Source organism: Homo sapiens, chromosome 13, assembly GCF_000001405.40.
Source record: "Homo sapiens chromosome 13, GRCh38.p14 Primary Assembly".
NCBI classification, from domain to species: Eukaryota; Metazoa; Chordata; class Mammalia; order Primates; family Hominidae; genus Homo; species Homo sapiens.
Window position 1 is genome coordinate 27079473 of NC_000013.11, and position 12787 is coordinate 27092259.

Sequence of the window (12787 nt, forward strand, 5' to 3'; positions counted from 1 at the left end):
GCCATCAGGTGCTAAGTATTCCAAAGGACTAGGGGAGGAGCTGGAGGAAGGACTGACATTGCCTGCAACCACCCTCAACCGGAATACCAACTACCCAGCCGCAGGCAAGCAACACCACTATGGGATGGAATGCAGACCCTGGAATCCAGTGGAATCTGAACTGTTTTTCTCAATAGTCAGAAACGTTTTTTAAAGTAAATTTCCTATTTTTATAAATTGTGTGAGCCAGAGTTCTTTAGATGGAATCTGATCCAGAGGACACTATTTGCAAGCTCTGCCACAGATGAATGCAATACCCCAGCCACAGGCACTTAAGAACTTACCAACATCCTGTCAGCAGAGAAGTCCTGACCACACAGAAAAGCTTAATAATTGTACAGACATTCAGTTCCAAGGACTGAATTCCATGCCCTTTTAAAATGTACCATCAACAAGGATTAATTGTGACACATTACAATGAGGGGGTCAGGGCAAATAGAATGCTTTATGTGAGAAAGACACTAAGGTGACTCAGTGAGATATAAGCAATGAGAGGACATTTAGGCAGCAGAACCTGAACTCCAGCATGTGTTAAAATGGGGGATGGGTCACAGGCACAAATGAGGCTCATGACATACCCCAACATGTATATAAAACATAGTACTGAGTGATGGACATCTGGAGATCCAGGTAGGCATGCAGGCAGGGAGGCAGGAGGCATCAACTTCTCAACAGATGGAAGGACCCACCCAACTCAGATTCCAGAAGACTTGCATGGGGGTGTGTGTGCCAACAGGTGGTTGCAGATGCTGACTACAGCAAAGCAAATCCCTATTGCTGATATGATTTTGACATGATACTACACAAGTTACCATTACTGGAACTGGCTACAGGGGAATAAGATATGGATCTAGTTAGGAAAATGAAGCAAAAGGTAGGGCCTTCATCTCACAAACAGGAAGCCATTCAATCATTAAATCTAGGGCAGATACTCAGAGATGGACTGTGGCCATGACAATGTGATGCTGAGTCACCTGGCCATGCATGGATCTTCTTCAATACCTGGTAAGAACAGGACTGGTCCCAGAAGTGGGGTCAGGCACACACGGAATAAAGGGAGAGTAAAGAGACTTGAGAGAGGAAAGATGAGAAGGCAAGGAGCTTAGCTCCCAGCGTACTGTCACTAATCATTGGATCCCACAGAGTAGTGACAGAAATACAGGCATATCTTGGACACGCAGCAAGTTCAGTTCCAGGCCACCGCAATAAAGTGAGGACCGCAATAAAGTGAAGACCGCAATAAAGCAAGTCATACACATTTTTGGTTTCCCAGTGCATATAAAGGTTATGCTTATACTATACTGTAGTGTATTATGTAACAGCATTATGTCTGAAAAAAGTCCATATCTTAATTTAAAAATAGTTTATTGCTTAAAAAATGATCATCTGAGCCTTCAGTGAATCATAATCTTTCTGCTGGTGGAGGGTCTTGCCTCAAGGATGATGACTGCTGACTGATCAGGATGGTGGTTGCTGAAGGTCGGGGTGGCTGAGGCAATTTTTTTTTTTTTTTTTTTTTTGAGACGGAGTCTTGCTCTGTCGCCCAGGCTGGAGTGCAGTGGCGCGATCTTGGCTCACTGCAAGATCCAGGCTGAGGCAATTTCTCAAAATAAGACAAGAATGTCTGCCACATCAACTGGCTTTTCCTTTCACAGATTTCTCTGTAGCATGTGATGCTGTTTGACAGCATTTTATCCACAGAACTTCTTTCAAAATTGAGTCAATCCTCTCAAACCCTGACGCTGCTATCAACTAAGGTTATGTAATATTCTAAATCCTTTGTTGCCATTTCAACAATGTTCACAGCATGTTAACCAGGAGTAGATTCCATCTCAACAAACCACATTCTTTGATCTTCCATAAGAAGCAACTTCTCATTCATTCAAGTTTGATCATGAGATTGCAGCAATTCAGTCAGATCGTCAGGATCCTCTTCTAATTCTTGTTCTCTTGCTGTTTCCACCACATCTACAGTGACTTCCTCCACTGAAGTTCGAATCCCTCAAAGTCATCAATGAGGGTTGGAATGAACTTCTTCCAAACTGTTTTTAATGTTAATATTTTAACCTCCTCCCATGAATCACAAATATTCTAATGGCACCCAGAATGGTGAATCCTTTCCAGAGGGGTTTCAATTTACTTTGCTCAGATCCATCAGAGGAATCTCAATCTATGGCAGCTGTAGACTTAAAAAATATTAAATAATAACAATTGAAAGTCAAAATAACTCATTGATTCATGGGCTGCAGAATGGATCTTATGTTAGCAGGCATGAAAACAACATTAATCTCTTTGTGCGTCTCCATCAGAGCTCTTGGGTGATCACATGTATTGTCAATAAGCAGTAATATTTTGAAAGAAATCTTTGTTTCTGAGTGATAGGTCTCAACAGTGAGCTTAAAATATTCAGTAAATTATGCTATAAACAGGTGTGCTGTCATCCAGGCTTTGTTTCTTTTCTACAGCACAGGCAGGGTAGATTCAGCGTAATTCTTAAGAACTCAAGGATTTTAGGGATGGTAAATGAATACTGGCTTCAACTTAAAAGTCACCAGCTGCATTAACCGCTAACCAGAGAATCAGCCTGTCCTTTGAAGCTGGGCGCTCACTTCTCTCTAGCTATGACAGTCCTAAACACCCTCTTTTTCCAATAGAAGACTGTTTCCTCTATATTGAAAATCTGTTGTTTAGTGTAGCCACCATCAGCAACTATTTTAGCTAGACAATCTAGATAACTTACTGCTGCTTCACCTTGTACTTTTATCTCATGGAGACAGCTTCTTTCCTTAAAACCTCATGAACCCACCCCTGCTAGCTTCAAAATTTTCTTCTGCAGCTTCCTTACCTCTCTCAGCCTTCATAGAACTGAAGACAGGCCCTGGTTTTAGATTAGGCTTTGGCTTAAGGGAATGTTGTGGCTAGTTTGATCTTCTAACCAGGCCACTCAAACTTCTCCATTTGGCAATAAGGCTGTTTTGCTTTCTTATCATTTGTGGGTTCACTAGAGTAGCTCTTTTAATTCTCTTCAAATACTTTTTCTTTGCACTCCTAACTTGGCTGTTTGGTGCAAGAGGCCTAGCTTTCAGCCTATCTTGGCTTTCAACGTGCCCTATTCATTAAGCTTAATCATTTCTAGCTTTTCACTTAAAGTGAGAGACATGTAAATATTTCTTTTCACTTGAACCCTTAGAAGCCATTGTAAGGTTATTAATTGGCCTAATTTCAATATTGTTGTGTCTTAGGGAATAAAGAGGCCTGAGAGAGAGGTAGGAGGGGGAAAACGTCAGGTGGGTGGAGCAGTCAGAACGCACAACATTTAAGTTCATCATCTTTTTCTTTTTGAGACAGAGTTTCACTCTTGTTGCCCAGGCTGGAGTGCAATGGCGTGATCTCGGCTCACCGCAACCTCCGCCTCCCAGGTTCAAGTGATGCTCCTGCCTCAGCCTCCCGAGTTGCTGGGATTATAGGCATGCGCCACCACGTCCAGCTAATTTTGTATTTTTAGTAGAGATGGGGTTTCACCATGTTGGTCAGGCTGGTCTCAAACTCCTGACCTCAGGTGATCTGCCCACCTTGGCCTCCCAAAGTGCTGGGATTACAGGTGTGAGTCACTGCACCTGGCTAAGTTCATCATCTTAAATGGGTGCAGTTCATGGTGCTCCCAAGACAGTTACCATAGCAACATCAACGATAACTGATCATGTATCACCGTAACAATATAATAATGAAAAAGTTTGAAATAGTGCAAGAATTACCAAAAATGTGACAGAGACAGGAAATGTGCACACATGCTGTTGGAAAAATGGCACTGATAGACTTGCTCAACAGAGGGTTGCCACAAACCTTCAATCTGTAAAAACCACAGGGTCTGCAAGGTGCTGTGAAGTGAAATGCAATGTTCTGTTCTCTAAGACCTGAGCCTCAGCCTCCCCCTTGCCCCCATGCCAGCAGCCAGGGACAGGAAAACAACAACTGAAACAGCCATCAATCCTTTCTCATTACAGTTCCCCAGGGCGATCACTCTCCTCTCACCTATATGCTTTAACCTCCCATGGGATAAACGTATATGACCATTAGAGTGACATTTCCCACACTGCTATCTTTCCTGAACTGCACTATTTACAGAGTTCAATAGGCATGCTATATAAATGGAGTCTATGTGCAAGTAAATTCTGGAAAAAGCTGGATAAAGTTTCCTTTATTTTGTGAGTCTTCAGGAGCATGAATATTTAGATAAAATATTATAAAGCAAATTCATTTGATCATAAAATACTAATTTTGTGGCACATCATTAACATTCCCAAAAATTATTCTTCAGTGTTCTCGGGATGAACCTTTTTGGGAGAATATATATATATATATATTTTTTTGAGATGAAGTCTCACTCTTGTCACCCAGGCTGGAGTGCAATGGCGCAATCTCGGCTCACTGCAACCTCTGCCTCCCAGGTTCAAGTGATTCTCCTGCCTCAGCCTCCCAAGTAGCTGAGATTACAGGCGCCTGCCACCATGCCTGGCTAAATTTTGTATTTTTAGTAGAGACAGGGTTTCACCATGTTGGCCAGGCTGGTCTCAAACTAGGTTATACATTTTGTTATCTTTTTAACTACAAAAAAAATATGCACTTGAAGTCTGTCACTCATAAATCCATGTTTGCATACACACACACACACACACACACACACACACACACACACACACACACACAAATTCCTGTCTGGGTGTGGTGGCTCATGCCTGTAATCCCAGCACTTTGGGAGGCCAAGGCAGGCAGATCACAAGGTCAAAAGATTGAGACCATCCTGGCCAACATGGTGTAACCCCGTCTCTACTAAAAATACAAAAATTAGCTGGGCATGGTGGCGCACACCTGTAGTCCCAGCTACTCAGGAGGCTGAGGCAGGAGAATCGCTTGAACCCGGGAGCTGGAGGTTGCAGTGAGCCAAGATCATGCCACTGCACTCCAGCCTGGAGAGACAGTGAGATGAAAAAAAAAAAAAAAAAAAAGAGTTCTATAGTTTTAGGTCTTAAATCCATTTTGAGCTAATTTTTTGTAGATGACATAAGGTAAGGGTTCAACTTTATTCTTTTTCGTGTGGATATTCAGTTTTCCCAAAACCATTTGCTAAAGACATTATCCTTTTCCCACTATGTATTCATTCTTAGCACCCTTGATGAAGATCAGTTGCCTGTATATGTATGGTTTTATTTCTGGGTCATTTTGTTCCACTGGTCTATATATGTCTTTAGGCCAGTACCATACTATTTTAATTACTTTAGCTTTGTAATATACTTTGAAATCAGAAGTTTAATGCCTCCAGCTTTGTTCTTTTCTCTCAAGATTATTCAACTATTTAGGGTCTTCTGTGATTCCATGTGGATTTTTGGATGTTTTTTTCTATTTCTGCAGAAAATGCCATAGGAATTTTGATAGGGACTGCACTGAATCTCTAGGTTGCTTTGGGTAGTATGGACATTTTAACAATATTAAGTCTTCCATCCATGAATACAGGATGTGTTTCTATTTATTTGTGTCTTAATTTCTTTCAGTAACATCTTATAATTTTCAATATACAAGTCTTCTGCCATGTAAGTTTATTCCTAAGTATTTTATTGTTTCTAATAGTATTATAAATGGAATGTTTTCTTTTTTCTTTCTTTCTTTCTTTCTTTTTTTTTTGAGATGGAGTCTCGCTCTGTTGCCCAGGCTGGAGTGCAGTGGCGCCATCTCAGCTCACTGCAACCTCTGCCTCCCTGCCTCCCAGGTTCAAGCAATTCTCTTGCCTTAGCCTCCAGAGTAGCTGGGATTACAGATGTGTGCCACCACGCCTGGCTAATTTTTGTATTTTCAGTAGAGACGGGGTTTTAGCATATTGGCCAGGCTGGTCTTGAACTCCTGACCTCAGGTGATCTGCCCACCTTGGCCTCCCAAAGTGCTGGGATTACAGGCGTGAGCCACCGCATCTGGCCGTCAAATTGATTTTTGGTTTTTTACTAAGAACTATGGTCTGTATACTCAACACAAGCTTATCCTATTATTCCAAGACGGAGAACTATAAACTTTCAGAAGTGAATTCATCCAAGTAAAGGTCAAAAATATTAAATGAATTGCTCAATATCACACCATAAATTAACAGGTTGATACTAGATCCTAATGAGAAATATGTAACTTCTGTAAAGTTGTCTTTCCAGAAACTTATGCATAATTTATCCTACAAAGTGTCCAAAAATATGTGGGGAATATGTGTATATACACACAAAACTGTTCATCAAATCACTGTTTATAACAGTGTAAAAAATCTAAATTGTTGGATTTAGACAACTGGTAGATACATGGTACTATGGTATGTTCATACAAAAAAAATATACTATGCAGCAGGCGTGGTATCTAGCTCCTGTAATTCCAGCTACACCAGAGGCTGAGGCAGGAGGACTGCTTGAGGCCAGGAGATCTAGATGAGCCTAGGCAACATAGCAAGAGCCCGTCTATAAAAAATAAAATTCAATAAATTATTCAGGCACGGTGGCACACATCTGTAGTCCCAGCTACACAGAAGGCTGAGGTAGGAGGATCATTTAAGCCCAGGAGTCTGAGGCTACAGTGAGCTAAGATCGCACCACTGGACTCCAGCCTGGGTGACAGAGAGAGATCTTTTGTCTCTTTAAAAAAAAAAAAAAAAAAAAAAAATATATATATATATATATATATGCGCACATATACATATATTTTATATATATGCACATATACATATACATACACATATATATAATTACACACACACACACACACACACACACAATGCAGCACCTCCTAAGAAGGATATAAAAATATTTTTTCATTAACATGGTTGCAATTTTTTAAGTGAAAAAGTTTCGAACTTGTACATAAAGTTTGATAGCATTTTAGGGACTATGTGTGTATATACATACACACTTTAAAAATCTAAGATATACACAAAAATGTTAACATTTTATAGCTTTTATAGTGATTCTCGATTTACATTTATCCGTATTTTCTAATTTAATTACAAAGAATATACATTCTTCATGTATTTTCTAATACATTAAAATTTCATGTCTTTAAAACAAAGAGCTCGATTTTACAGACAATTCTCAATTACTCACATGTGATTACTTGTATAACCATCATTCTAGGGAAAGGGTGGCTTTTGCTCACAGATGGGCCTTCCTCCATATAGTCAGTAAAGTCTGAAAGTTGTATTTCTCTTAGCTACATTTAGTCCCTGACTCTTACTTATCCAACGGTCTTAGGTACTTTCTAAGGCATTTTCAGGATGAATGTAATGCTTTAGCCCCTATCCCTCTGACTAAACTTCTTTGAGGTGCTCCCCATCATATGCACTAATGGACAGAAACAGTGAGTAATCTGTTTTGATTCCGTGGTCCATTACCAAAAACACTTTCCTTCCTAGGAAATGTCTGTGTCCAAAACAAAAATATAATCACTTAAAAATCTGAGCTCTTCCCCTCCCTTAATGAACAACTCAATTCAACTATTTGATGGGGCCAAATAACACAGACATCTGTACAGGCAGGAGAGGGGGAAGTCAAAGCAGAGGGGAAGGGGCTGTGTGTGTGTGTGTGTGTGTGTGCGTGTGTGAGAGTGTGTGTGTGTTTATGCATGTGTGTGCATACAGGGAGCGGGGGCAGGAAGGCAGAGAGAATAAGCTGGGTTAACAAAAGGTGCACCGACCAAATAAGTAAATATAGTGGGGAGGGATGTGTGTGTGTGTGTGTGTGTGTGTGTGTGTGCGCGCACGCTCGTGTGCATGCAGGGAGCGGGGGCAGGAAGGCAGAGAGAATAAGCTGGGTTACCTAAAGGTGCAATGACCAAATAAGTAAATCTAGTAAGGATAATAGCAGCCAACTGTACTGTCAGAAAAAGGAATTACAAATACTGTGGTGGTGGCTACAAGATTATCACTGTGTATTCACGGTTTTCAGTACAGATAAAGAGATCAATAGACGTAGAAGAGAAATAAATGCAGATGTGAAAAGTGTGTGTGTATTTATAAATACTCATCTATCCTCTAGCTCTGCTCACTAAGCGGGCTCAGGAACAATGACATCCCAATAGCAACGAGCACAACTGTACAAGGTCCTAGTTTATTGTTTTCCCCTAAGAGAAACCAGGGCTCCTTGGAGAAATGGCTTGTTCCAGAGTAGGGGCAAAGAAAGAGCAAAATGAGCCTGAACAGCTTGAGTCAGAAAGGAAAGAAATACTGGAGAATGACTGGGCACATCAAGAAGAGAGGAGCCAGCTTGGAGGAACTCCCCCTGGCCAGACTGGAGATAATGTGAGCATGGAAGTAAGAATGCTAATGGATAACAATCCACTGAATAAAACAGGAACCTTTGGGTCCACTGTAAGATTTTAAAAGTGAATAAAATGAAAGTTCAATGAAGAATGAAATATTTACAATCTCAAAATGCTTCCACATAAAATACTTCTAAATTACAATGAGAAAAAATAAAGATTAAGTGAAGAACTCTGTAAAACATCTGGGGAACATTCACTCAAATGTTCAATAACAGCCAAGAACAGTAATGGGAGGTTCAGAAAAGGATTCACATGGCCTCAAACTATCCTTAGAAAGGCCTGCTTGCGGCCGGGCGCAGTGGCTCACGCCTGTAATCCCAGCTCTCTGGGAGGCCGAGGCAGGCGGATCACGATGTCAGGAGATCAAGACCATCCCAACACAGTGAAACCCCGTCTCTACTAAAAATACAAAAAATTAGCCGGGCGTGGTGGCGGGCGCCTGTAGTCCCAGCTACTCGGGAGGCTGAGGCAGGAGAATGGCGTGAATCCGGGAAGGCGGAGCTTGCAGTGAGCCGAGATCGCACCACTGCACTCCAGCCTGGGCGACAGAGCGAGACTCCGTCTCAAAAAAAAAAAAAAAAAAAAAAATGGCGTGCTTGCATGGATGGTCCTTTTTAGCATCTGGAAACTTGGATTTTGGACATGTTCCCACCATTTGCCAAATAATAAGTGTCTCGCTGTGCCTAAATTGTTTGAACAAACAAGACAGTTTATGCTGAACTCTTGCTTTCTTTCTGGGAGTCTGGAATTTGGGGGCATGGTAGGCAGAGGGTACCTACATGACTAGCCCCAAATAAAAACTCAGGGCACTCAGTCTGTAATGAGCTTCCTGTGTTGTCACAATTCAATGTGGGAAGAATTAATAGTCTTTTGTGACTCCACTGGGGCACTGACTTCTGGGTGCTTGCCTGGCTTTCTCTTTGCTGACTGTGTTTTGTATCCCGTCCCTGTAATAAATCTTAGCTGTGAGCACGCTTGGATGTTGAGCACTGTGAGTCCTTCTAGGAAATCACCTGTCCTAGAAGTGATCTTGGGGATACTCCAACACATGGCACAAATCAAGTCACATATGCTACTTAACAGGACATGATGAGAAAAACACTGTAAGATTCCTGTCCAAGATACATAACCTGAATCTAATCACAGGAAAACGAGACAAACTCCAATAAGGGACATTCTACAAAATAACTAACTTATGATTATCAAAAGTCAAGAATCATTAATGTCAAGAAAGGACTGAGAATCTTTTCCAAATTGAAAAAGACTAAAGAGACCGAATGCTAAATGTAATGTGGGATTCTGGACAGAATCCTTCTTCTATAAAGGACATTACCGGTACATCCTGTGATACCAAAATAAGGTTTGCAGTAACAGTAGCATGTCAGTGTTACTTTCTGGATTTGGATGGATGTGCACACATAGGAAAACGTCCCTGTTGCTGGGAAATACCTATTAAAGTGCCGGGGCCATGAGGTACATATCAGTAACTTATTTTCAAATGGTTTAGGGTAAAAAAGCTTTCTTGGTCTATTCATGCAACTTTTCTGAGTTTGAGACTGTTTCAAAATAAGAAGTAACGATGATGATGATGTTTATTATTCCATTTATTGATACCAAACCAGTCTTACAATAACATGCTAAGAGAATGTACAACATCCTATGTAGGAAAAGCAGAAACTGGGGGTGTGGGGGATGGGCAATGGGGAGTGCTATCTCCCTCAACCCTCTTCACCAAGAAAAAAGTTTACATCATCAGGAAAGCCTCAAAGCCAAATATTTTAACTGTACTGGTTTATGATGATTAAATAATCGCTAGACATAGGAAATCACTTCAGGGTACACAGTTTTTGTAAAATAAACATTGAGTAGAATATCATTTACCTAGTAATACTTAATGAACATTAACTGTTAGTGATAGAATTAAGAATTTTTACTCAATGTAAATTTTCCTAGATTGTTTTTCTAAGCCCACCTCCAACATCAATTACAAAAAATAAAATCACTTAAAAATCCATAAAGCTCTAAAATTACCGTTTGTGTGCTTCCTGTTTGCTGCGACACTCTTCACAGTAATACTTGTATTCACTGCACAGAGTTTCTGTGTTGCTGAAACCCCTGTGTGAAATTCAAAACAAATTTATTTTGTAGATACCAGGAAATCATGTATCTTAAAAAATATTCCAGACTAAAAATAATTATTAAATTTCAAACTAAATAATTCTACATATACCTTAAGCAGTGAGTAATTGATGTATTTTGTTCCACGTCAACAGAAAGGTCTAAAAAATCTTCATCTTTGCTGCTTATCTGTAAAAACAGTGAATTGTCTTTGATTTTTTCAAATACTAGTAAACCACAGTTCCCAATTAACAGAATTAAATGCCATTCTATTATTATCAGTAAGTAAACAATTCTTTTCCCTCAAGTTCAAAAGAGAACTACTTAATTTGGATTATCCAAAAGGACACTGAATAAATAACCCCTACCAGATGTATAAATAAAACACCAAAGTACACTTTTGACTGACTCTCACTGGCAAAGGCTAGTATGATGTGAGAGTTCATGACTTTCCAAAGTCTTTGTGTTATTTTAAAGCATGAAATAAACTGTACCATATACACTGATTCTTAAAAAAACATAGGCCAAGACTGAATAAAAATGCTTCACACAGGACAGGATATCTGTATTGTCATTAAAAAAAAAATTTAGCCCAAAATGTTAAATTACATTCTTCATTTGTGACTGACTTTATTTCTCCTAAAAATTTAATATAAAGTTTTGTTTGATTTATGGGTAAATAATCTTCTTATAAAGTTATCACTTGCTCATGTGAACTGGAATAGGACAGAACTTTAGACATAAATCTTCCTAGCTATTTCCTTCAGCAAGTCCATCCTGAAGGTACGTGTGCAACAGGAGATACGTCTGACTCAGCAACCTGTGCCTCTCCACTCAGTTAAGCAAATGCTTTCCCATTTTAATACATCAAAATTATTATTAGCACATAGAGTTGTTCATCGAACAACTCAGTAAGTTGTCATACAACATGTGACTATACAAAGTATGTATTTATGCAAATATACGTAAACCAAGGTACTGTGCATAGTGTATTTTATAGACAGTTGAAGGGAGTTCCAATGGTGATTTTGACTTTCCCTGACTTCAACATTAAGCTAACCATAGGACCGAAACCCCTTCTGTAAGATGCCATTCCACTGTACGATGGAAGATACAGCAACACTACAAGATAACTGACCTGAGTCTCAAAAAGTCTGGTGAAAAAGAAGAGGGAACACAGACAACTCAGAGAGAAAAAAAGAGGACATGATATGTTTAAGGAAAACACATCAATTTTGTAGAAAAGTGGGTAGGGTGACAAGAGATAGTATGGCAGAGGTAGGCTAGCCAGATCAGGCCGGAATTTACATGTAAGCTACAGAGAAGTAAAAGTTACACAGTCTGGTGTTTCTCAAAATCAATTTTGTATTCCTCAAAATGAAGTCCTCAGACACTGCCTCAGGGGTCTTCATTTGAAATGTTCCTTTTATGATCATGTAAAAACCTAGACACAAGGATGCTCTAGATCACCTGGGTGCATGAGTTACTACGTTTATATTTGCGATTGAGTTGGTGCCAAGCGGTCATCAAGTAGGACAGTATTCCACTTTTCAAAGTGGTTGTAAAGACATCTGGCTGCTATTGGACTAATATGTCCTAATGTCATGTCATGCACAATATGGGGAGATCCCAGTCTAAAACTCAGGGAAGAAGTCTAGGGTGGAGATCTGGAGTTGAGACTCATCAGCACATGTGATAATAAAATGGAACATGATCATGATCCTCCCAATTCAGAGTGAGAAGCAACCGACAATGAAACCCTGGGGAACACCCACATTTAAAGAATGGAAAAAGAGAAGCCAAGGAATGAGACTGAAAAGGAACCCTCATAGAGAACACCAGAAAAGGGTGTTATAGACACCAGCTTCCTACCACCTGAGACATTACCAATTGCATTTCTAAAATACAAGCATGAGCTCCTCCAGGAAGCTGGTCCTTTACCTGTCCAAATCCTTCCCACTCCCACCTGGGTTAGGTCTACTATTCTCTGGCTGGCATGGCATCCTGTGCATACACATACGATAACACACTGTACTGGAACTGCCTGAACACTGCTTTGCCAGTCTTCATTACCATAGGAGTATCTTGTGATCAGAGGCTTATGTCTTACTCATCTTCTACCATCTTCTACCTGGCATAGTTGGTGCTTAGCACCCCCCAAAATGAATACTTAAATATAAATCTAACAAAACACGCATGGTATTGATATGAGGAAGAACTACCAAACTCCAATGAAAGATAGCAAAAAAAGTGGTAAATAAGGGGAGACAGTGCATGTACTTAGATAAGA

The 12787-nt window shown here is 40.1% G+C and overlaps 1 protein-coding gene across 2 annotated transcripts in view; it reads right to left on the minus strand.

Moving 5' to 3' along the window:
- The window catches only part of USP12 (ubiquitin specific peptidase 12), a 105656-nt gene that overhangs the window by 13317 nt on the left and 79552 nt on the right, over positions 1–12787 (minus strand). For both annotated transcript variants that reach the window (XM_005266282.3, NM_182488.4), the window contains exons 5-6: positions 10610–10686; positions 10411–10494 (exon numbers count right to left, since the gene is read on the minus strand). In XM_005266282.3, the coding sequence (XP_005266339.1) occupies positions 10411–10494; positions 10610–10686 (161 nt within the window). The remainder of the gene's footprint in view (positions 1–10410; positions 10495–10609; positions 10687–12787) is intronic.